The sequence below is a fragment of the Homo sapiens genome, chromosome X, assembly GCF_000001405.40.
Source record: "Homo sapiens chromosome X, GRCh38.p14 Primary Assembly".
In the NCBI taxonomy this organism is placed as follows: Eukaryota; Metazoa; Chordata; class Mammalia; order Primates; family Hominidae; genus Homo; species Homo sapiens.
Genome location: NC_000023.11, coordinates 81,475,532 through 81,502,362, shown reverse-complemented (window position 1 = coordinate 81,502,362; position 26,831 = coordinate 81,475,532). Strand labels below are relative to the sequence as shown.

At 34.7% G+C, this 26,831-nt stretch overlaps 1 long non-coding RNA gene across 2 annotated transcripts; it reads right to left on the bottom strand.

Moving 5' to 3' along the window:
- Nucleotides 1-4,066: 4,066 nt before the first annotated feature.
- Nucleotides 4,067-26,831, bottom strand: LOC105373285 (uncharacterized). 2 transcript variants are annotated; one of them, XR_007068281.1, is made up of 4 exons: nt 26,774-26,831; nt 24,785-24,945; nt 23,588-23,759; nt 4,067-4,443 (listed from the first exon to the last, which is right to left on the bottom strand). It is a non-coding gene; the product is annotated as an uncharacterized LOC105373285 (long non-coding RNA). The 2 variants fall into 2 exon arrangements; XR_001755907.1 differs by lacking the exon at nt 26,774-26,831 and adding an exon at nt 25,377-25,693 and having other exon boundaries at nt 23,588-24,945.

Below are 26,831 nucleotides of genomic sequence, written 5' to 3'. Positions count from 1 at the left end.
CAAACAGAAGAAAGAAATTCAGAGCTCAAAGACAAGGTCTTCGAATTAACCCAATCAAACAAAGACAAAGAAAAAAGATAAGAAAATATGAACAAAGCCTCCAAGAAGTCTCAGATTACATTAAATGACCAAACCTAAAAATAGTCAGTGATCCTTAGTAATAAGAGAAATCTAAAAGTTTGGAAAACATATTTGGGGAAATAACTGAGGAAAATTTTCTCAGTCTTGCTAGAGACCTAGACATCCAAATACAAGAATCACAAAGAACACCTGGAAAATTTATTGCAAAAAGATCATCTCCAAAGCACATTGTCATCAGGTTATCTAAAGTAAAGACAAAGGAAAGAATCTTGACTAGTGCTATGAGACAAAAGCACTAGTTAACCTATAAAAAAAAACCTCTCAGATTAACAGCAGGTTTCTCAGCAAAAACCCTACAAGCTAGAAGGAATTAGGGCCCTATCTTCAGCCTCCTTAAACAAAACAATTATGAGCCAAGAATTTTGTATCCAGTGAAATTAAGTATCATATGTGAAGGAAAGATATAGTCTTTCTCAGACAAACAAATACTGAGAGAATTTGCCACTACCAAGCCACCACTACAAAAACTGCTAAAAGAATCTCTAAATCTTGAAACAAATCTTAGAAACATATCAAAACAGAACCTCTATTTATGCTTTATAGCATAAATCACACAGGACTTATAAAACAAAAATACAATTTAAAAGGCAAAAAACAAAAACCAAAATACGTAGGAAATGAATAGCATGATGAATGGAAGGGTATCTCACATCTCAATACTAACATTGAATGTAAATGACCTAAATGCTCCACTTAAAAGATACTGCACTGCAGAATAGATTAGAACTCACCAACCAACTACCTGCTGCCTTCAAGAGACTCACTTAACACATAAGGATTCACATAAAGTGGTGGAAGAAGGCATTTCATGCAAATGGACACCAAAACTAGCAGAGGTAGCTCTTCTTACATCAGACAAAACAAACTTTAAAGCAACAGTCGTCAAAAAAGACAAAGAGGGACATTTTATAATGACAAAAGGCCTTGTCCAACAGGAGAATATCACAATCCTAAACATATATGCAGCTAACACTGGAGCTCCCAAATTTATAAAGCAATTACTAATAGACCTAAGAAATGAGATAGATAGCAACACAATAAAAGTGGGGGACTTCAATACTCCACTGAGAACACTAGAAATGGGTCATCAAGACAGAAAGTCAACTCCAAAAGGAACCTTCAAAACCATACAAATACATAGAAACTAAATAACCTTCCCCTGAATGATTATTGGGTCAAAAAGGAAATCAAAATGAAAATTAAAAAATTCTTCAAACTGAACAACAATGACGCAACCTATCAAAACCTCTGGGATACAGTAAAGATGACGCTAAGAATAAAGTTCATAGCCCTAAACACCTACATCGAAAAGACTGAAAGAGCACAAGCTGGCATTCTATGGTCACACCTCAAGGAACTAGAGAAAGAAGAACAAACCCAACCCACGCCCAGCAGAAGAAAGGAAATAACCAAGACCCACAAGTAATGGAGATACAAAAACGCCCTGACAAAAAGTTTAAAATAATTGTTATAAGGAAGCTCCATGAACTAGAAAATATGGGAATACAATTTAATGAAATTAGAAAAACAATAAACAAAATAAAAATATAACGGAGATATACTGAAATCATTAAAAAGGAATTCTGCAGCTGAAGAACACAATGAATAAAATGAAAAAGCAATAGAGAGCAAAAACAGAAGAATTGATGAAGCAGAAGAATGAATATGTGAATTTGAAGATAGATTACTTGAAAATTAATTAGAGAGAAACAAGATCTTTGCCACGCAGGAAATCAGTATAATAACTGATAGGTAGTTTTTTAATCCTCACCCTCCTCCCAACCTCTATCCTCAAGTGGGCCCCAGTGTCTATTGTTCTCTTCTTTGTGTCCATGTGTACTCAATGATTAGCTATGACTTACAAGTGGGAACATGCGGTGTTTTTTGTTCTGTTGCTGCATTAATTTGCTTAGGATAATATCATAGGAGTAGTATCAGATAAGTTAAAAAAAGACTATTTCAAGAAAGACATTTGTCAAACATTTTTACAAGTAAAATATTAATTTGACCTTTTATTTCTCATTTTACTTTCCTCTTACAAAGACACATAAAACTTGCTTCTCATACCCAGTACCAATAAATAAAACACTTTTTACCAGTCCAAACAATACATAAAGATATTAAATAAAAAGCATCTATAACCTTCTTTTCATCTGCCTCTTCCTCATTCTATCACTCAAAGGCAAACATTGTCAAGAGTTCCTTGTGTTTCTGTAAAAAAAAAAAAATGTGTACTTTAGGAGTAACTATTCTCCTTGATTACAATTTTTTGCTTCCCTACAGTCCTCCAAAGAGTGAGGTATTAATCTTTTAAAGCTGGGATATGATCATGTCATCACCCTGCTTGAAGCCCTCATTATTTACCATTGCATTGGAAATAGAATTTACATCTACAAATTCCTACATGATCTTGCCTAGAACTACCTCTCTGCCTCATTGCACACATTAATGTCTGAATTCAGATACGGTGGCCTTTATTTAAATTCTCTAAGAGAAGTTCTTTCCCAACTCAGAATTTTGAATATGTTCTTTCATCTACTGAATGCCTTTTCCCTCCACCTTTTGCATAGCCAGCCCCTTCTCATCCTTCAGGTCTCAGTTTACTGCTAGTTACTCAGAAAATGTATCCCTGACCACCAGATTTAAAGTAAGTCCTGGCATCCCACAGTATTATCTATTCTTCATTTTTTTATTTTCTTTCACAGTAGTATACCACAATTTGTAATTTTTTGCTTACTTTTGCTTATTTGTTTATTTTCTGCCTCTTCCACTGCTTAGTGCACTAAGTTCCAGGATTGTATGGAGCTCATTTGTACTGTTCACTGATGGACATGTAGAACCTAGAACTGAGTTAGTACATCTCAGACACATAACATCCATTTTGTGTAAGACAAGTACTAATGTGTTTTCTCTCATTAGAGATTAGTTTGCATTTTCTATAATTTAGTATGAATCAAATCTTTTAATATTTATTCATATTGTCATGTATGTCAATATTTTTTTTCTTTTTGAGTAGTATTTCATTGTGAGAATACCACAATTTGTTTATGCATTCACCTGTTAATGGACATTTAGATAGTTGCCAGTTTTTTGCTATTACAGATTAAGTTGCTATTAATATTCATATACAAGTATGAAAATATGCTTTCTTCTTTAGTAAATACTGTCCAATGGTATCACTAGATCATATGGTAAATGTATTTTTAACAACATGTGGACATGCCAAACTGTTTTCCAAAGTCACTGTACCAGTTTACATTTTTATAAACGGTGTATCAGTGTTCCTTTTCATCCTTGACAGAATTTGGAATGATCTTTAAAAGAAAAATTTGGACATTCTAATGGACAGGTAATGGTATCTTATTGTGATTTTGGTTTACATTTCCCTAATGACTAATGATTTTAAGCATCTTTTCTTGTGTTTATTGGCTATTTATATATATTTTTATGTATAAATCATGTGTCATTAAACAATAGGGATACATTGTGAAAAATGTATCCTTAGGCTATTTTTTCATTGTGTGAACATCATACAGTGTACTTAAACAAACTTTGATAGTTTAGCCTACTACACACCCAGGCTACATAATATAGCCTATTGCTCCTAGAATACAAACATATATGGCACGTTGCTGTACTAAATACTGTAGGCAATTTTAACACAATGGTAAATATTTATGTATCTATACATAGAAGAAATACAATAAAAATATGGTATAAAAGGTGAAAAAACGATACACCTGCATGAAGCACTTACCATCGTGAATAGAGCTTATAGGACTGGGAGTAGCTATGAGTCAATTGGTAAGTGGTAAGTGAATGTGAAGGCCTAGGACATTACTGTACACTATTGTAGAGTTTATAAACACTGTACACTTAGACCAGACTAAATTTTAAAAGTTTCTGTCTTCAATAATAACTTAACCTTAACTTACTGCAACTTTTTTACTTTATAAACTTTTTATTTTTTTTAACTTTTGACTCTTTTGTAATAACACTTAGCTGAAAACACAAACACATTGTACAGTTGCACAAAAATATCTTTACTTATACCCTTATTCTATAAGATTTGTTTGCTATTTTTAATTTTTATTTTTTTAAACTTTTTAACTTTTATTATTAGAAACAAGGCACAAGCACACATAGTAGTTTAGGCCTACACAGGTTCAAGATATTCAATATAACTGCCTTCCCTCTTCACATCTTGTCCCACAAGAAGATCTTCAGGGGTAATCACATTTGTGGAGCTTTCTTCTTGTATAATAACAATGCCTTCTTCTGGAATATCACTGAAGAATCTGTCTGAGAAGGTTCACAGTTAATTTATTTTATAAGTATTAATAGAAGGAGTACACTTTAAAATACAATAAAAATATAGTATAATAAATGCATAAACCAGTAACAGTCATTTGTTATCATTATCAGGTGTTATATATATACATAACTTTTATATTATTCTTTTATATCAATGGCAGTGCAGTAGATTTGTTTACACTAGCATCACCACAAACACATGAGTAATACATTGTGCTGTGATGTTACAATGGTTAGGATGTCACTAGGTAATAAGAACATTTTCAGCTCTATTATAGTCTTATGGAACCACTGTCATGTATGTGGTCTATTTTTGGCTGAAATTTATTACTTGGCTCATGATTGCATCGTGTATTCAAATATTTTGCCCATTTCCTTTTTGGATGGTTTGTATTCTTATTGAGTAGAAAGATATATTTACATATTGCAGACACAAGTCTTGTGTCTAATATCTGTTATGCAAATATTCTATCTTAGTGTGCTCTGTTTTCAGCATGCACATACACATTTATAATTGTATGGCTTCCTAATACATCATCATATTTATCATTATGAAGTGTCTCTCTTTATCTCTGGTAACCTGCTTTGTCTTGAAATATATTTTGTCTGATACTAAAATATCACTCAAGCTTTCTTATGCTTAATATTTGTAAGACATCATTTCTCTATATTTACCTTTAATCTATTTATATACTTATATTGAAAGTGTGTTTCTTAGAGACAGATATAGTAGAGTACTGCTTTTTTCCACTCTGTCAATGGCAACCTTTTAATTAAGTGTTTGCACGGGTGTCCAACCCTTTGAATGCAAGATTTTTTTTTGCTTACCTATGGTGATAGATACAACTAAACTTATGCAAGATTTTTTTTAAGCTCATCTGCTATTGTTAGCGTTAGTGTATTTTATGTGTGGCCCAAGACAATTCTTCCAATGTGGCCCAGGGAAAAAATGTTGAACACACGTGGTTTAGACCGTTAAAATGTAATCTAAATAGTAATATTTTTACTTTAGGTTAACCATCATGTTGTTGTTATTATTATTATTATTATTATTATTATTATTGGAGTAACAAAAATGTCATTTAGTCAACATTTATTTAACATTGAATATATCATATTCCCGTAGGCTCTGGGAATACAGGAATAAACCAGATAGACAAAACAGTCTGTCCTTTTGACTGCTGGGATTATCAGCCTTGCTTAACTACAAGGCTTAACAGAGGTTTCAACTATAAATCTTTTTTAAAAATTTGTATTTTACTTTAAGTTCAGGGATACATGTGGAAGACGTGCAGGTTTGTTACATAGGGAAACGTGTGCCATGGTGGTTTGCTGCACCTCTCAAGCCATCACTCAGGTATTAAGCCCCACATGCATTAGCTACTTTCCCTGATGCTCTCCCTCCCCCTGCCCCCAACAAAGGCCAGTAGGTGTTGTTCACCTCCCTGTGTCCATGTGTTCTTATTGTTCAGCTCCCACTTATAAGTGAGAACATGCTAACCATTGTATTATTTATTTTCTCTGTGTCTCTTATGTTTATTTATTCCTCTATTTTTCCTTCTCTATTTTCTTTTTAAATATTTAAAATATTTGGATACTTTTATTTTTATTTTTATATGAACCTGTTTACTATAACCCTGTGTGTGGTTTTTCAGTGGTTGATTGATGATTTGCAATAAACATACTTAACAATTCACAGTCTACTTAAAGTTAATATTGTGCCATTTAACCCCAAATGTAGAAATCTTGCAACTAGTTTCTCTTTATTGATGTTATTGCTACAATTGTCAAAAAATTATGTTTTCATACACAGAAAACCACACCAGACTATGTTATATTTACTTTACAAAGTTGTGTATATTTTAAGAACTTAAGAGAAAATAGTCTTTTATAGTTTGGTAGATAAATACCATTTCAGTTGTTCTTCTTTCCTTCCAGAAGATTCAAGCTTCTCTTTGATATTCACAAATAACTTTAGTATTTCTTGTAGAGTAGCTCTATTCGTGATGAAATCTCTTAGTTTTCCTTCATCTGAAAATGCCATTGTTCATTCCTGATGTGCTAGGAAAATAGAATGCACAGTTGACATTTTTTTTCTTTTTAACTTCAAAGATTTTGTTCCATTGTTTTCTGGACTTCATAGTTTCTGATGAGACTTCTACAATGTTTGAACTCTTGTTCCACTGTGTGTAATTTATTATTTTGGGGGGAAGATTTAAAGGTTTTATTCTTTAGCTTTGGTTTTCAGCAGTTTAATTGTGATGTGTATAGACATAGCCTCTTCTGAATTTATTCTATTTGAAGACTGTTGAACTTCTTAAATCTGTGAATGTATGCTTTTCCCTACATTTGAGAGGTTTTTGGTCATTATGTCTTCAGATAAATTTTCCACTTCAATCTCCTTCTCTTCTTCTAGAATTCTAATTACTTTTGGATAGTGTTCCACAAGTCCCATTGCTCATTTTTTCAATTTTTATTATTCTCTCTTTTACAATTTGGATAATTTCTGGTGATCTAGTAATTTTCTTTTTAGTTTCCCTGATTCTTTCCTATGTCAATTTTTAAAATTGCTGATATTGAACTTTTTGTTCTAAATATTCCATTTTGTTCTTGTATTATATTTTATATTTTCTCCGATAACGTCTATCTTTCTATTTATGGCAAGTATGTTTACCTCTACCTCATGGAACACAGAATAGCTGTTATGTTACAGGGTATTAAGTTTTGGTTACACAAGATAAATAAATTACAGAGATTAACTGTACAGTATAGTGCCTATAGTTAGCAATATTGTATTGTTTACTTAAAAATTTGCAAAGAGTTTAGATCTTATGTGAAGTGTTCTTATATTATCAATAATAATACTAATGATAATAATAATAAGTAAAGACAGCAGGAGGAGGTTTTTGGAGGTGATAAGTTTATGACATAGATTGTGGTGATGACTTCACAAGTGTATCCTTATCTCCAAACTTATCAAGTTGTATATACATTAAATATGTATGGCATTTGTGTGTCAATCACATTTCAACAAATGCAAATCAAAATCACAATGAGATAGAATATCACACTAGTAAGATGGCTATTACTAAAAAGTCAAAAAACAACATATGCTGGCGAGGTTGGAGAGAAAAAGGAGCACTTATATCCTGCTGGTGAAAATGTAAACTAGGTCATCCACTGTGGAAGGCAGTTTCGAGATTTCTCAGAGAACTTAAAACAAAACTACCATTCCAAGCAGCTATCCCTCTGGCGGATATATGCCCAAAAGAAAATACATAATTATATCAAAAAGACATATGCACTAATATGTTCATCACAGCCCTATTCACAACAGCAATAGAATCAACCAAGATGCCCATCAACAGTGGACTGGTTAAAGAAAATGTGGCACATATACACCATGGAATACTACACAATCACAAAAAATGAAATCATGTCCTTTGCGTAAACAAAAATGCAACTGAAGGCCATTATCTTAAGTGAACTAATGCAGGAAGAGAAAACCGAATACCACAATACACGTGGACACAAATATGGGAACAATAAACACTGGAGACTACTTGAGAGGGGAGAGTGGGAGAAGAGTGTGGGCTGGAAGGCAACGTATTATATACTACGCTTACTATCTAGGTAACAGGATCATTCATACACTAAGCCTCAGCAACGCAAAATTTACCCATGTAACAAACCTGCACATGTACCCCCAAGAACCCAAAATAAAAGTAGAAGAAAATAAAAGTAGAAATAAATAAAAGTTTCATAAAGAAAATATACTCAAAATCATGATAATAATTTACATATTATAAGAGTTCCATCACAAAATAAAATCAACAGTGTTAGGAGAAACTGAAACTAATTTATAATGAATTCAATGAACTATAAGTTCTATGCTGCATGGAAATTAGGGACTAGAATTAATTCTTGATTCATGCCTATTCCAACCTCAACAATGCTTATCCTCTGAGGTGTATCATCAACAATTTGACATTCCAGTTAGTTAAATTCAATGCAATTTTTAAGAACAATAAACATAGAGAAAAAAATTTTAAGTATATAAAGTTATTTCAGCCAACAAATGTAGGGTAATTGCTACAAGTAAATGAATATCTTGTCACTACCCTATACATTCTCAGATAATTGCTAGAAATAAATGTCTACCTCGTCAATCTGCAAAAAAATAAATAAATAAATAAGTAAAAGTTTTGGTCTGATAGTTCCAACATTTTAAAATTATTTGGAATCTAGGAAATTATTATTTGTTTTATCAGGCAATCAACCTGATTCAGACTACATATTTTACTTGAAGTTTCTCTGAGACTATCCAAGCAGGTTATTAAGCAGGGACTTTGAAATGACAGCATGAAACTCAAGAGAAGAGCTGCGTATAGATATGGAGTCACATACCTAAAGACAATAATTGAAACAAATGAGTGTATTAATAAGACAATATGTGTAAAAATGAAAGGTTAAAAAATGAATAAAATACAAATCTAGGTATCAGATAAGAAAAACAAGAAAAGAGATAAAGATATCAAGCTTAGTTTTTGTCACCGTGCCTAGATTATAGTTGATGATCAATAATATCTGTTGAATCTGTGAATAAAAAGACAACATAAGGATGAAGTGAAATAATTCTAAAGTTAGAATAGAGTTAAACATATTTTGAGTTAAAGAGAAAGAATACAGTATATAGTTAAATAGAATAAATTGAGATTAGAGACATTGATAAAAATATAAGGACTCTGTATTAGAAGCAATGCATCATGGTGGCATTATTACAAATTTCCTGATATGATAGAAAAAGTCATAGGATTCAACATGTACCTTTAGTGGTAAAAAAAAAAAAAACCTTTACTTTGCAATTAATTGAATTACATAAAAGTAAGGGAAAAGAAGGTATCACATCAGATCTTCATAAGTGAGTGGTTAGATAAATAATGGTAACCCATTCTTTAAGATAAAGTAAATAGAAGAGTTTATCTTTAACATCTCCTTTTACTCCACCCTCTACATTCCAAACAAGGCACTATAAAAAGGGGCATAGCACTGACATCATCAAGTGGTATAAACATCAAGATAAGAGATGTTTCTTACATAAAAGGGAAAGAATAATTATTGAAACGTGAAGAGAATCCCATCTCCACATCACAGTCCAATTCCATATGAATGGTGAAATTAAAGATAGCATCCACTAGGGAATATTTTTATTTATCCTGTGAAAGAACAATGTTTTTTAAAGCAAAGGAAGAGAAATTATTCTGTGATAAGAATTTAGAATGTAAAGAGATTTGTTCACAAAGGAACAGTAGAATGGTAGGGATGAAGGCCAGTGGTAGTGTTGAAAAGAGCTGAGGTAAGGGTGTGTGCAGTGTCATAGGGAGTTAATAATACAGAGGAAATAGTTTTAGAGAGGCATTATCTTTTAGCTGGCCATTAAGGGTACCAGAAGTTCAATCATGGGTAGAACTTACTGATCTTAAGAAGTCTATTATTGATGAGAGAACTAACAAAGGATTGCGGGTTTAACCTGTTCTGACTTTGATATGTGTTTCTGTTCTTGCCTGTGCCACCCCTTAGGTTGGTGAGAGCTGCCTTTAGGTTACATGGGAGCAGCAAGGAGGATACTTGTATGGATGGGATCTACCACAATTTGAGCAGCCTCTAGTTTTGGTGAGATCTGCCGCACTATCTGTAAAATGGACAAAAAAGAGAAAAGGACAATTGAACACAGAGGTGCACAAGAAAGAAGCAATATGAGCTCATACCTAGTTTTCTTTTGCTGTTGGTCAGAGATGATTTCTTTATTGTATTTAAATATACATTACATAAACTTTGTCAATTTAACCATATTTAATTGTACAGTTTTTGGCATTAATTACTTTCACAACATTTTGCAACCATAACTACTATCTGTTTCCAAAACATTTATTCCACCCAAAACAGAAACTCATAACCATTAAGTAATAACTCCTCACTACCATCATCTACCCGCAGCCCCTGGTGACCTCTAATCTACTGTCTGTCTCTATGAATTTGCCTATTTTAGATATCTCACCTTCATTTCCTAAAAAAGATATTGGTCATTGGTTAAGAGTGCTGAGTTATCATCTTGAGAGGACTGGCCACTGATGGTATACTGAGACAACATATAAACTAGAGAACAGTAAACAGCTTACAATGGCCAGAATAGTCATAAAAATGAGCTAAGTGACTCAAGTATCATCCAGTAGATATTTCTTGGAACTGAAATATTAGAAAGACAATGTTCTATCTAAAGGTTACAATGACTTTTCAACTCCTGCCAACTGTTGTCATTAATTAATTAGAAACTCAGTGCTGCCAGAATTTTCTTTTTTAGGAAAACTAGAACATTCGGACTGTTAGGCAAAAAATCCAAAATTTGAAAGTCTGTAGGTCAAATCTGGCCCTCATGTCATCAGCTTATGGACTTTATTATTAAAAAGTCTTATTTCTTTGCAAAAAATGCTATTATATTTTAAATGGCATGCGTTTGTAATGGAACAAAGATATAAGCTTTGTGACATTTTTGAGCAACTTTGAGAGGTCCAGGTATATATGCACAAAATGAGTATTTCCCAAAGATGAGGAATGGCAAAGCAGAACTAGCAGAAGGTCAGGAATCCAAGGAATTCTAGAATGGTAAGTTATTTCTTTGTGCCTTTATATTATTTAATTCATTTTTTTCCTTTTGATAAAACTGTATATATTTATCATGTACAACATGATGTTTTGAAGCTTACATAAGTTGACTAATGGTTAAATCTAGCTAGTAATGTATTACCTCACATTGCTCTCATTTTTGTGATGAGAACACTTAACATGTACTCCCTTAGCGTTTGTCAAGAATACAGTATATTATGGTTAAATATAGTCGCCTTGTTGTACAATAGATCTCTTGAATATATTCTTCCTATCTTCCGACCAACATCTCCCCTACCTCCCCTTCCTCCTAACCACCCTAGCCTCTGTAACCACCATTCTACCGTACTTCCCTGAGATTAACTTTTTAAGATTACATATATGAGTGAGATCATCTGGTATTTATCTTTCTGTGTCTTTTAAAAGTAGTGCCTTGCAATTGATAAGCATTCAATAATTACTTGTTCAATGGTTAAAAAAAGGAAAGAAATAAATATCAGTTGATATGATCTGATTGGACCATTCAAATTAATAATGCCTTCATTAAAGTTATAAAAAGGCATTTCACTTTCTAAACATTTGGAAGAGGCAGCTTTTTAGCTTTTCTGGATTTTCCTAAACTAAGAAAATTGGTGATAATTCATAGGGTCCCATTTTGTGAGAAAGTTTTAAGGATTTTCTGTTTTAGATGTCAGAATAATAAAAAAAAGTTTAAAAACAGTAACTATGAAGATCCTTCTGGTGAGACTGACAATAAGTGTGTTTTACTTTTTGAAACACTCAATATTTACTTTAAACATTTTATATAAAACTATATTGATCTGTCCTACAAAATATCCCCTGAAAAACAAACATGGTGTTAATTTAAAACAGGAGATACAGGCCTAGAACACCGAAAGTTCAAGTCCCTTTTTCTGTTCCAAGAAATACATAATAAATTTTTATTCAGTATTTATTTACTTGAGTACTATTGAAAATTGTCTCAATTCTCACAGCCTTGGCTTCAATTTTTTTTTTTTTTTTTTTTTGTCCTCTGTGATATAAATTCTGATGGTTCCCTCTTGTGGTGAAAATCAGAAAATCAGAAGAGGTTCTAAGTATTTCATTTTATTTTCTTGTTTATAAAAAGTCTAAAATAAAACCCACTGTGAAAAAAATCAAAATGTATAAACTTAGTTATTTATGAAATGTTTGAATTTATTTTCCCTGTCCTCAAGAACTTAATAGCTAATAGGGAATAAAGGCACAGGAGCAGATATTTCAAGATAGTGTTATTGATACAAAAAGGAATGATTTTCATAACAAGCAGTAGTGGCACAAAGTAAGTGTCTGATTCCTTCTACCTCTTGGGAATGTTAGGTAGGAAATAGTACTGTTTGTTTGATTCTTCAGGGCTTTGGTTAGAATGCTAAGCTACAATTATGTGAGAAGAAAGCCAAGTGTCATAATTACCCTGGAGGCAGAATGGCGAGGGCTCAACACTGGGATCAGAAAAAAAGGGAACTAAGGCAAATATTAAGAGTCAAACTTGAGAGCTAAACAGAGATTAATTATCCAGGGATGATATTAGAGATGAGCAATAGGTAGACTTTGGCCAAAAACAAAACAAAACAAAACAAAACAAAAAGGTGTAGAAAATTTCACAGGTGATTTCTTTCTTGTAGTAAAATATATATTACATAAACTTTGCCACTTTACATTTTTTCCTTTGCACATCTTAAAATTTTTTAAAAAAATTTTTAAATAATTTTAAATTTATTTAAAATTTATTTAAAATAATTTTAAATTTATTTAAAATTTATTTAAAATAATTTTAAATTTATTTAAAATTTATTTAAATATTTTTAGGGGTACAAGTGATTTTTCATTACATGGGTGGATTGTTTAGTGGTGAAGTCTGGGCTTTTGGTGTACCCATCACCAGAATAGTATATATTGTAACCAACAGGTAATTTTTCATCCCTCACCCCGCTCCCAAACTCCCCACTTCTCAGTCTCCAGTGTCCATTGTACCACTCTGTATACCTTCATGTACCCATAGCTTAGCTCCCATTTTTAAGTGAGAACCTGTGGTATTCGGTTTTCTATTCCTGAGTTACTTCATTTAGGTTAATGGCCTCGAGTTCCATCTACGTTGCTGCAAAACATATTATTTCTTCATTCTGTTTTATGACTACGTAATATTTCATCATATATATGTATATATATATGTGTGCATAGGTATATATATATGTGTGTATATATGTATATATATGTGTGTGTGTGTGTGTGTGTGTATCGCACACTTTATCCACTCATAGGTTATTGGGCATTTAAGTTTGTTCCAACTCTTTGCATCTGTAAATGGTGCTGCAATAAACATACATGTGCAGTTGTCTTTTGTATATAACGACTTATTTTCCTTTGGGTAGACACCGAGCAGTGGGACTGCTGGGTTGAGTGGTAGATCTACTTTTAGTTCTTTGAGAAATCTCCATGCTGTTTTCCATAGAGGTTGTACTGATTTACACTCCACTAACAGTGTATAAGCGTTTCCCTTTCAGCAAATCCACACCAACATCTATTGTTGACTTTTTAATAATAGTCACTCTGGCTGGGGTAAGGTCTTATCTCACTGTGGTTTAATTTGCATTTCCCTGATCATTAGTGATGTTGAACATTTTTTCATGTGTTTGTTCATCATTGGTATATCTTCTTTTGAGAAATTTCTATTCATGACATTTGCCTATTATTTAATAACATTATTCATTTATTTCTTGCTGATTTGAGTTCCTTATAGATTTTAGATATTAGTTATTTGTTGGATATATGGACTGCAAATATTTCCTCCCATTTTGTAGGTTGTCTATTTATTTTCTTGTTATTTCTTTTGCTGTGCAGAAGCTTTTTAGTTTAGTTAATTCCCGCTTCTTTATTCTTTATTTTTATTGCATTTGCTTTTGGGGTCTTAGTCATAAATTATTTGCCTAATCCAATATCCAGAAAAGCTTTTCCTGTTACCTGCTGGGTTTGTTATAGCTTCAGGTCTTAGATTTAAGTTTTTAATCCATCTTGAGTTAGTTTTTGTATATGGTAAGAGATAGGGAACCAGTTACATTCTTCTGCCACTGACTATTCAATTTTCTGAGCACCATTTATTGAATAGTTATTTTCCCAGTGTACGTTTCTGTCTGTTTTGTCAAAGATCAGTTGCTATACATGTTGGGCTTTATTTCTAGGTTCTCTATTAGTTTCCATGGGTCTATGTATCTACTTTTATACTAGTACCATGCATATTTGGTTACTATAAACTTATAATATAATTTTGATTTGGGTCATGGAATACCTCCAGCTTTGTTCTTTTTACTTAGAATTGCTTTAGCTACTTGGGCTCTTTTGTGGTTCCATACGAATCTTAGAACTTATTTTTTCCTAATTCTCTGAAAAATGACATTGATGTTTCAATAGAAATCTCATAAAATGTGTGTATTTCTTTGAGCGGTATGGTCATTTTAACAATGTTGATTATCCCAATCCATGAATATGGAATGTTTTTTCATTTGTTTGTAACATCTCTGATTTCTTTCAGCAGTGTTTTTGTAGTTCTCCTTGTAGAGAGCTTTCACTTCCTTGGTTACGTATATTAGGTTTTTTTTTTTTTTTCGCAGCTAGTGTAAATGGAATTGAGTTCTTGAATTGATTTTCATCTTAGTCATTATTGGTCTATAGCAGTGCTACAGATTTGTATACATATATTTTTAACCTGAGACCTTAGTGAATTCATTTATCACATCTAAGAGTTTTTGGAGGAGTCTTTAGGGTTTTCCAGGTATAAGATCATATCATCAACAAGCAGAGATAGGTTAGCTTTCTCTTTTCCAATTTGGATGCCCTTTATTTTTTTCTCTTGTTTGATTGCTCTGCCTAGGACTTCTATTACTATGCTAAACAGAAGTGGTGAAAGTGAGCATCTTTGCCTTATTCCAGATCATAGGAAGAATACTTTCAACTTTTCCCCATTCAGTATGATGTTGGCTGATGGTTTGTCATATATGGCTTTTATTAATTTGAAATATGTTCCTTCTATGCCTAGTCTGTTGAAGGTTTTTATCATGAAGGAACTTTGGATTTTGTCAAATGCTTTTTCTGCATCTATTAAATTGATCATATAGCTTTTGTGTGTAAGTTCTTTAAATGTCTGGTAGAATTCAATTATGCATGTGTCTGGTACTGGGCTTTTATTTGTTGGGAGATTTTTTATTACAGAGTTAATCACTATGCTTTCTGTTAGTCTTTTCAGGATTTCTATCTATTCCTGATTCAAGCTTGTGAGGATGTTTATTTCAAGGAATGTATTCATTCCCTCTAGATTTTATAGTTTCTTTATATAGAAGTGTTCATAGTAGTTTCAGATGATCTTTCATATTTCTGTGATATCCATTGTAATGTCTCCATTTGCATTTCTGATTGATCTTATTTGAATCTTCTCTCCTCTTGCTTAATCTACATAGTAGTCTGGTAATTTTACCTTTTCAAAAAAAACAACTTTTTATTTCATTGATCCTTTGTAATTTTCTCTTCAATTTCATTTATTTCTGTTCTGATCTTTGCTATTTCTTTTCTGCTAGCTTTGGGTTTGGTTTGTCGTAGTTTCTCTAGTTCCTTGTGGTGCAACATTACCTTGTCAATTTGTGATCTTTCTGTTTCTTTGATGTAGGAATTTAGCAGTATAAATGTTCCTCTTAGCACTGTTATTGCTCTATCCCAGGGATTTTTATAACCTGTGTTACTGTTATCATAAATTATGGAAATTGTGTAAATTTTCATCTTGATTTTATTATTGACCAAAAGAGTATTCAGGAGCAGATTAATTTCCATGTATTTGCGTAGTTTTGACAGTTCCTTCTGGAATTGATTTCTAGTTTTATTTCACTGTGGTCTGATAAGATACTTTACATAATTTTGATTTTCTTAAAATGTATTGAGACTTGTTTTGTGGCCTATCATATGGCCTATCTTGGAGAATATTCCATGTGCTGATAAGAAAAATGTATCTTTTTCAGGTTTTGGGTAGAATATTATGTAAATTCCTGATAGGTCCATTTGTTCTAGAGTCCAGTTTAAGTCCAGTATTTATTTGTTAACTTTCTGCCTCAATGATCTCTCTAGTGCAGTTAATGGAATGCTGAACTCCTTCATTATTATTGTATTGCTGCCTATATCTTTTTTACGGTCTAATAGTATTTGTTTTATGAATCTGTGAGCTCTGGTATTAGGTGCATATATATTTAGGATTGTTATATCTTCTTCTGAAATAGATCCCTTTGTCATCATATAATGACCTTATTTGACTTTATATTATTTTATAATTGCCTTCTTTGTCTTCTTTGTCTGCTGTTGATTTACAGTTTGTTTTGCCTCATACGAGAACAGCTACTCCTACTCACTTTTATTTTCCATTTGCACAGAATTTTTTTTTCCCACTTCTTTACCTTTAATCTAAAAGAAACTTTACGTGTTAGGTGGGTTGCTTGATGGCAACAGATGTTTGGTTTGTGTGTGTGTGTGAGTATGTTTAATCCATTCTGCCAATCTATATCTTCTAAGTGGGGCACTTAAATCATTTACATTCATAGAAAATATTGAGAAGGTGAGGTACTGTTCCAGTCATCATGTTGATTGTTACCTAGTTGCTTTATTTTCTTCATTGTGCTGCTGTCACATAAGCCCTGAGAGTTTCATACTTGCAGGCATTTTTATTTTTGGTTGATTTATTCCTTTTACTCTTTACTTTCAGTTGACATGTAATAATTGTACATATTTATGGCATACAGAGTAGTATTTTATTCATGCATTTTGATACATGAATACAATGTATAATGATCATATCAGGGTAATTAGCACATCCATCACCTCTAACATTTATTATTTCTTTGTAATGGGAAATCTCCGAATCCTCTCTTAGCTTTTTGAAAATATGGAGTAATTTATAACTAACCACATTTGCCCTACAGTTTGGCAGAATATCAGAGTGCATTTCTCCCATCTAGCTGTAATTTTGTATTCAATAACCAACATCTCCCCAAGCTCCCTTCTTCCTTACTCTTCCCAGCCTCTATACCCACAGTTCTATTCTCTACTTCTGTGAACTCAAAAATAATGTTTTCAGTTCCCATGTGAGTGAGAACATGTGGTATTTATCTTTCTGTAACTGACTTATTTTGCTTAACATAATGTCCTTCAGGCTGAGACTCAGGCCTTGATCCAGAGAAATGATGAATCTGCAGGTATCATGGAAATGGCTAGATGAAGTGATTAATTTGTACTTAATTCATAAAAGAACAGCTTTGTTTTCAAATTTGAAATTCATGTATTTATATACAGGTGTGTATCAACCTTTGAGGTTGATGTTTAGAACACCTTTGAGCATTTCTTACAGGGCTGGCCTAGCAGTGACATATTGCTTAAGCATTTGCTTTACTGGGAAATATTTTATTTCTCTTTCATTTACAAAACTTAATACGACTGAATATGGAATTATTGGCTGACAGTTATTCTATTGGAGGAGACTAAATATAGGATCCCAAGCCCTTCTGGCTTGTAAGATTTCTGCCGAGAAGTCTGATGTTAGTCTGATAGATTTTCTTTTGTAAATTATTTGATTATTCTGTCTCATTGCTGTTAGAATTATTTCCTTCATGTTGTCTTTAGATAATCTGATGACAATATGCCTTGATGATGTCCTTTTTGCTATGAATCTCCCAGGAGTTATTTCAGCTTCTTGTATTTGCATATCAAGTCTCTAGCAAGGCCATGAACATTTTCCTTAATTATTCATTCAAATATGTTTTCCAAGCTTTTTTCCCCCTCCGAAGCACCTATGATTCTTAGGTTTGGATGTTTTACATAATCCCATATTTCTTGGAGACTGTTCACTTCTTTTCATTCTTTTTTCTTTATTTTTGTCTGATTCAAAAGCCTTGTCTTCATGCTCTGAAATTCTTTCTTCTACTTGGTCTAGTGTATTGTTAAAACTTTCCATTATATTTTGTAGTTCTATAACCGAGTCTTTCATTTCCAGAGTTCTGTTTGTTTTTCTTAAAATGTCTATGTCAAGAACATTTTTCATTCATATTACAAATTACTTTTTTATTTTTTATGCAGAAATCTACATTTGTATGTGAAATCTTTATATATTTAAATCTTTTTTATTTAACTTTTAAGTTCAGGGGTACTTGTGCAAGTTTGTTTATAGGTAAACTTATGTCATGGAGGTTTGTTGTACAGATTATTTCATCACCCAGCTATTAAGCCTAGTACTCAGTTCTTTACATGACCCTCTCCGTCCTCTAACCCTCCAACAGGCCTCGGTGTCAGCTATTTCCCTCTATGTGTCCATGTATTCTCATTATTTAGCTCCTACTTATAAGTGAGTGCATGTGGTATTTGGTTTTCTAGTCCTGCATTAGTTTGCTAAGAATAATGACCTCCAGCTCCATCCATGTTTCTGCAAATAATATAATCTCTTCTTATGACTGTATAGTATTCCATTGTGTATGTACCACATTTTCTTTATCTACTCTACCTTTGATGGACATTGAGACTGATTTCATGTCTTTGTTATTTTGAATAGTTCTGCAATGAAAATATGCATGCATGTGTCTTCATGATAGAACAATTTATATTCCCTTGGGTATATACCCAGTAACGGGACTGCTGGGTTGAATGGTATTTCTGTTTTTAGGTCTTTGAGGAATTCCCACACTCTTTTCCACAATTATTAAACTAATTTACATTCCCACCAACAGTGTATAAGTATTTATTTTATTTCACAACCTTGTCAGCATGTTATTTTTTGACTTTTTAATAATAGCCATTCTAACTGGTGAGAGATGGTATCTCATTGCACTTTTGATTTGCGTTTCTCCAATGATCAGAGATGTTGAGCTTTGTTTTTGTATGCATGTTGGCCACATGTGTGTCTTGTTTAAAAAATTGTCTGTTCATATCCTTTGCCCATTTTAATAGGGTTTTTTCTTTTTTATTGTAGTAAATCTGCTTACATTCCTTATAGATGCTGGATAATAGACCTTTGTCAGATGCATAATTGGCAAATATTTTCTCATATTACGTAGGTTGTCTGTTTATTCTATTGATTGTTTCTCTTGCTGTCCAGAAGCTCTTTAATTTAATTAGATCCCATTTGTCAATTTTTGTTATTGTTGCAATTGCTTTTGTTGTCTTTGTCATAAAATCTTTGCTCTTTCTTATGTCCAGAATGGTATTGTCTAGGTTTTTATAGTGTTAAGTTTTACATTTAAGTATTTACTCCATCTTAAGTTAATTTTTTTATATGGTGTGAGGAAGTGGCACCATTTCAATCTTCTGTATATGGCTAGCCAGTTATCCCAGCACCATTTATAGTTTAGGGAGTCCTTTCCCCATTGCTGGTTTCTGTCAGCTTTGTGAAAGAGCAGATAGTTGCAGGTTTACAGCCTTGTTTTTCAGCTCTCTATTATTTTCCACTGGTCTGTGTGCCTTTTTTTTTTTTTTCCAGTACCATGCTGTTTGGGTTACCATAGGACAGCATGAAGCGGAGTAGCATAATAGTAGCATAATATCTTCAACTTTGCTCTTTTTGCTTAAAATTTTCTTCACTATTCAGACTCTTTTTTTGGTCCTATGTGAATGTTAATATAGCTCTTTTTTTTTTCTAGTTCTGTGAGGAATGTCATTAGTGGTTTAATAGCAATTGCATTGAATGTGGAAGTTGCTTTGGGCACTATGGTAATTTTTTTTTTTTTCAGACAGAGTCTCCCTCTGTCGCCCAGGCTGGAGGGCAGTGGTACAATCTCGGCTCACTGCAACCTCCGTCTCTCAGGTTCAAGTGATTTTTTTGCCTCAGCCTCCCCAGTACCTGGGACTAGAGACACATGCCATCACGCGAAGCTAATTTTTTTTGTTTTGTTTTGTATTTTTAGTAGAGATGGGGTTTCACCATATTGGTCAGGCTGGTCTCAAACTCCTGATCTCATGATCCGCCCACCTTGGCCTCCCAAAGTTCTGGGATTACAGGCATGAGCCACCATTCCCAGGCACTACGGCCATTTTAATAGTACTGATTCTTCCTATCCATAAGCATGCAATATTTTTCCATTTTTTGTCATCTCTGATTTCTTTGAGCAGTGTTTGTTTGTTTGCTTGTTTGTTTGAGATGCAGTCTCACCTTGTTGCCCAGGCTGGAGTGCAGTGGCGGGATCTCAGCTCACTACAACCTCCACCTCCTGCATTCAAGCAATTCTTCTGCCTCAGTCTCTTGAGTAGCTGGGACTACAAGCACGCAACACCATGCCCAGCTAATTTTTGTATTTTTAGTAGAGATGGGGTTTCATCATGTTGGCCAGGCTGGTCACGACCTCCTGACCTCAAGTGCTTTGCCCACCTTGGCCTCACAAAGTGCTGGGATTACAGGCATAAGCCACTGTGCCCGGTCCTGATCAGTGCTTTGTAGTTCTCTTTGTAGAGATCCTTCACCTCCATCGTTAGCTGTACTCCTAGGTATTTTATTATTTTTGTGGCAATTGTGAATGGAATTGCTTCCCTGATTTGGCTCTTGGCTTGACTGTTGTTAGTGTATAGAAATGCTAGTGACTTTTGCACATTAATTTTGTATCCTGAGACTTTGCTGAAGTTGTTTATCAGCTTAAGGAGCTTTTGGGCTGAGATTATGGGGTTTTGTAGATATTGGATTATGTCATCTGAAAACAAGAATAGTTTGACTTCCTCTCATCCTATTTGAATGTCCTTTATTTCTTTCTCTTGCCTAATTTGCCTGGCCAGGACATCCAGTACAATGTTTAATAAGAGTGGTGAGGGAGGGCATCCTTGTCTTATGCCAGTTTTCAAGGGGAATGCTTCTGGCTTTTGCTCATTCAGTATGACGTTGGTTGTGGGTTTATCATAGATGGCTCTTATTATTTTGAGGTGTGTTTCTTTAATACCTAGTTTATTGAGAGTTTTGAACCTGAAGAGCTCTTGAATTTTATTGAAAGCCCTTTCTGTGTCAATTGAGATAATCATGTACTTTTGTATTTAGTTCTGTTTATGTGATGACTTACATTTATTGATTTGAATATGTTGAACCAACCTCTCATCTCAGGAACAAAGACTACCTGATTGTGTTGGACTAACTTTTTGATGTGCTGCTGGTTTCAGTTTGCCACTATTTTCTTGAGGATTTTTGCGTCAATAGTCATCAAAAATATTGGCCTGAAGTTCTTTTTTTCTTTAATTTGTTGTGTCTCTGCCAGGTTTTGGTATCAGAATTATGCTGGCCTCATAGAAGGAGTTAGGGAGGAGTCCTTCCTTTTCAATTTTTTGGAATTGTTTCAGTAGAAAATGGTGCCAGATTTTCTTTGTACATTTGGTAGAATTTGGCTGTGGATGTTGATTTGTAATTCATCTTGTCATGGGCTTTTCTTTGTTTGGTTGGGTTTTGGTTGGTATAGTATTACTGATTCAATTTTGGAGCTCATTACTGGTCTTTTCCACAATTCAATTTCTTCCTATCTCAGTCATGGGAGGTTGTATTTGTCCAGGAATTCATCCATTTCTTTTAGATTTTCTATTTTTACGTGCATAGAGCTTTTCATAATATTCTCTAATGGTTATTGGTATTTCTGTGAAGTCAGTGGTAACATCCCCTTTGTCATTTCTAATTATGTTTATTTGGTCTCTCTTTTCTTCTTTGTTGGTCTAGCTAGTGGTCTATTTTATTAATATTGTCAAAAAACTCTTGTATTTCTTGATCTTTTGAATGGTTTTTCTTGTCTCAATTTCTTTCAGTTCAGCTCTAATTTTGGTTATATGAATTATTTTTAACTTTTTTATGTTGGTTTTCAGTTTTCTCTTGGATACCATTGAATAGCTTTATGATTCACATTTTGAATTATTTGTCTGGTATTTCAATTATTTCATTTTAGTTTGAATCTATTGGTAGAGAGTTAGTGTGATCTTTTCAGGGTGTTATAAAATTCTTGGTTTTTTTTTTCATATTGCCAGAATTATTTTTTCTCATTCCTTCTCATCTGGGTAGATTATTTATTCTTATTATTATTGAACTTATTTTTTATTTCACTAGATCTTTCCTTTTTGAGAATGTGACTTCAATATGTTTAGTTCACGGTCACCTATCTTTGGTTCTGTTTGCCTTCAGTAGAAAAGACTGTGTGAATCCTTAATTACAGAGAACCTTTGTGTGATGACGTTCTCAGATGATGATAGTAGTAGTTATGTACTTGTTGTGAGCAGGTTCACTCTCTCCTGTGAGGCCAGAATTGCAGAGGTGTCATGAAGCTTACAATGTTTCCCAATGGTGCGCACTTTCTTTTCCCAGTGCTTTTTTGCACTAGGTTGAACAGTTTAGTCTTCCGCCCATTAGGAGGTATCTATGGATGAAAACCAGCTGCAGCTGAGGCACGTGGGTACATGCAATAACACAATGGTGGACAAAAGCCCCATTTTTGACAGAAGTGGCTGTGGGGGCTTCCAGTGGAATACACTGTGGTCTTCGCAGGGTGGAGTGAGGGAGCCACCTCAGCTCTGCTACCAGGCAAGCAGGAAAGCAATCTGCCTCCCTATCATGTTTCTATCCCAGTGATCTGGATATTCCAATCAGACAGGCACCTTTGTCCATCTGCAGAAATGCTAACATTCTGTGTAAAGAGGCAGTAAGACTCTCTACCCTTCATGCAAGCCTGAGCCCAGAGGACACTTCTCCCATGAAGATGCAGTTACCTCAAAGTGCCCCCAGAAAGGCAGTCAACAGGTGCAACAATGCTGATCTCCCATGGGGAAGCCCCAGCTGTGACTGCAGTGGTAAGTGAGAGGGAGGAGAAGTCTCCTGCTCCAAGTCCCTTCCTGAGCACTGGAGCTGCTTGACTACTGGGGCAGAACTGATGCTTTTACCCACTGAGCTCAACACTGTGGCTGTGCCTCTGCTGAAAAAAAAACTTCCCACAAGCAGGAAGTTCTGGAACACAGAAAAGCCTGCCCTCTTGTTTCTTTTGTTCCATGGGGTGCTTCCTTGTTGTGGTATACTCCCTCTTCCCCTAAGAGTACCAATCTCCCAAGGGCCAGACTACTGTGAATTCTGCTGCTCCTCTGGGTCTAGCTGCCCTCTGGGGATGCTGCAATCTAAGCTGGTGCTGGTGAATGTCTGCAAGGGATCCAGTAATGAGAAGACACAAGGGCTGGAGGTCTCTGAGCAGAACAAAGTCCCATGATGCATGCACACCCAGTATAGTGCACACTAATACAGCTTGGGTCCAGGAGGAAAGGGAAAGAAACTTGCACGTGCAAGGTAATCCCCTCGAGAAGTCCCCAAATCACAGCCCACTCCTGTACTTGGTCTTGTGGGGGCAAAGAAGCTCTTTTTGAGTTTGGATACCAGCAATCAAGGGCTAGAGAGGCTGACATCTTTCCCACTTACCTTTTCCACAGAATACGAAGTCTCTCAGGGTTTGATCTTTGCCAGCTTCTTCTTACTTTCTTTCTGTGTGTATCATAGATCCTTCCAATTAACTTTCTTATAGGTTCCAGCACTCTCCCCTTAGCACTCTGCTTGGGCTATTATTATTCACTTCTAGTATAGGTTCTTCCTTCTGAGGATAATTAGTCACCAATGTCTCTAGTTAGTCACCTGGATAAGCTATCCAATGCCTCAGGCTATGGACAAGTCTGGCGGACTTGTAGTGGCTTGAGCTCTGTTCTTAGCTCCAGAAGAGGATAATATAGTGTGGAGCTACACTGGGATGACCTGTCCTCTGGTCTCCCAGTAGCAGGTGCATGCATCTCCTCAGATGGGTGGTGCAGGAGAGTGGCATAAACTCTATAAGATGCCATTAGTTGTAAATACCCTTAATGCGGTGGCTTTCTCAGTTACTAGCTGTAGTAGTAATGTACTGGATGCATAAATAGGCTTAAGGCCCTGAGTAGCCACGGTGGTGTGGGCAATGGTGTTAGCTGAGGTTGCACAAAGTATTTTTCATTCCTGAGTGCTGTGTTACTGTGTCAGCAGATGTTGTAATGGGCTGTGTGAGGTGACCTCTGGCCAAGAGATGGTGCTTGCCGAAGAGGGCCAGGCAGTGGCGGCTGTGGAATTTATGCTTGGCTTATGCTACCCAGGCCAAGTACTCAGATCTTCCAGGTGATGAGTGGGGCCATGAGCCTCCCAATAGTCATTTTTATTGTGTTATGCTACAAAGGCCAGTTGAGGGGCAATGTTAGATGAGTGAGGAAAGTCCACATTCTGGCTACCCACATGTGGACACAAGCCAATGGGGATTGGAAGGCAGTTTCCTGTGTACTGAAGTAGTGCTCCAGGGAGGAGTTAAACTGCCTCTGCTGCTCAAAAGAATTGGCATGAGAGAGGGGTGTAACAAGCAGCAGTGAGGCGTGCCCTGCTCCCCTGTCCTTGATATGGTGGATCTCACGCCCCTAGACTTCTCCTGGCAACAGCTAGCTGGGTCTTGGGCAGTTCTGGGCTTACAGTGTAAAACTTCCCTAGGCCACAAGCCTTCCCACCTGGGAAAAAGGCCACAGCTTTCAGGACACGCCCCTCCCATTTACCCACAAAACAGGGGCACCCAGCACCCACACCCATGGCAAGAGCATGCTTCCTGCTCACCTTCAATTCTGTTTAAAGGAATCCTTCCCACTCTAGATTAGATTGCACATCTCAGTCGGAAGATGCTGCCAACCTGTGACCACCACTTGAGTTAGTTGGCAGAATTCTATGAGGTCCCCTATGAGTCAGATCAGGAATATCTTCTCTCTGTCTTTGCTGGGCTATGAGAGTGCACACAAAACACTTATTGATGCCTCTCCTTCTCATGTAGTCCTCACTACTCACCAAATAACCTTCAACACTGGGTAGAGTTAAGGCACTCACTCCCTCATTGCCTGGATTTCCCAGCTCCCCAGTGAGAATAAGTATCATGCAGACAGTTTCTCCCCCTTTCAAGCTCTAGAAACACAGTTTTCTGCCTCTCTCAAGGTAGAGATTGCTGCGCACCTCTCCATGCAATGTGTCTGAAGTTTCTTTCATTTTTTGTGTTAGGCACCTGTGTTTCTTCTCCGATGAAAGTTTACAGTGTGAATCTTCACACTCTATTTTACTCTAAGTGGATGAGGCACATTAATAAAACCCCCAATAAACCATCTTGAAGATAAAACCATTTTAACCATATTTCAATGTACAGTTCAGTGGCACTAATTACCTTCATAACACTGTGAAACCATCATTACCATTTATTCCAAAACTTTTCACCCCAAACAGGAACTCATAATTGGTAGAATTGGATTTAGAAGGCAGAACGGAAGGTTTAGACCTCCAATTGAGAAGGCATTTAAAGTTTATCCTTGGGGCAGACTCTGCATCAAATGCATAATAATGTTAGATAAAAATAGAAATTATGAGAATAAAAGGCACATTAAAGCCAAAAAAAACAAGAAAATATTCTCTATGGATCATCAATAAAGAGAAAGAAACACCAATAAGTAAAGCTAAAGCTAAAGCAATGACCTGCTGCTCTCTGAACTCAAAATCAGGAAGTGGATTTAGAAATTAGTCTCCCACAGGGAAGCTACACTTTATATATATATATATATATATATATATATATATATATATATATACTCATGTGTATATACTATATATATACACACATATATATACTATATGTACACATACATACATATATATATATACACACATATATATGTGCGTGTGTGTATATATATATAGTTTACCTGCCTGCAGGTTTTCTCTGGCATTTTAAACCCTATTTGTCACCCATGCAGTAAGCCAGAAATGTGAAGGAATTAACTTTTTTCAGGGTAGCCCTCAATGAATGTATGACAGAAACTGGTGAATAAATACTTCAGCTCCCTTAATTCTTCAGGGGCTTAAATCTGAGGTCCATATTTTACACTAGGTTTTAGTATTCCTCAGAAGAATTATGTTTTATTAACCTGCAGTGAAGTGATAATTTGCTTAATAATAAACCCTTTTGGCTACTTTCCCTTATCCACCTCACTTTTTCCTTCCCATTGCAATATTTTTAAAATATTACTTCCAAAATAAACAATTTAAACTGGAATCTTTGCTTTAAAGTTTGGTTCTGGAAAAGCACAAACTAAGACGTACTGTTATAGACTGAAGATACCAGGGAGCCAAGTAAAGGTAAGTAACTCTATACCTCTCTCTAACTGCTAGAAAGGGAGAGGTATAGAGAGGAAAAAAAGAGAAAAATATCTCCAATTCAAAAAGCTAAAAAATAATAATAATAATTGAGTAGTCTTAAAAGACTTTAAAATATGTGTGTTTAGGAGACTCCTAGAGATAAATGAATAATTAAAATTTATAGTAAGAATAACAAAACAAGGAGGCAGAAACAAAACAAGGAGGACATGAATATTAATCTATTATAAATATTAGAAAGAAAAATTTTAGTAATTATAAACGAGTATTAATGTACAGGTAAACATTTGACTAGACCTTAAAGAGAGAATTATAAAACTGGAAGATAGTATTGAGGAATTCACCCATTATGCAGGACAGAAGAAAATCCTTAAAGAATATAAAAAGGGGATTAAAAAGATGATACACAAATACCTTCCAAGATGGCCGAATACGAACAGCTCCGGTCTGCAGCTCCCAGTGTGATCGACAC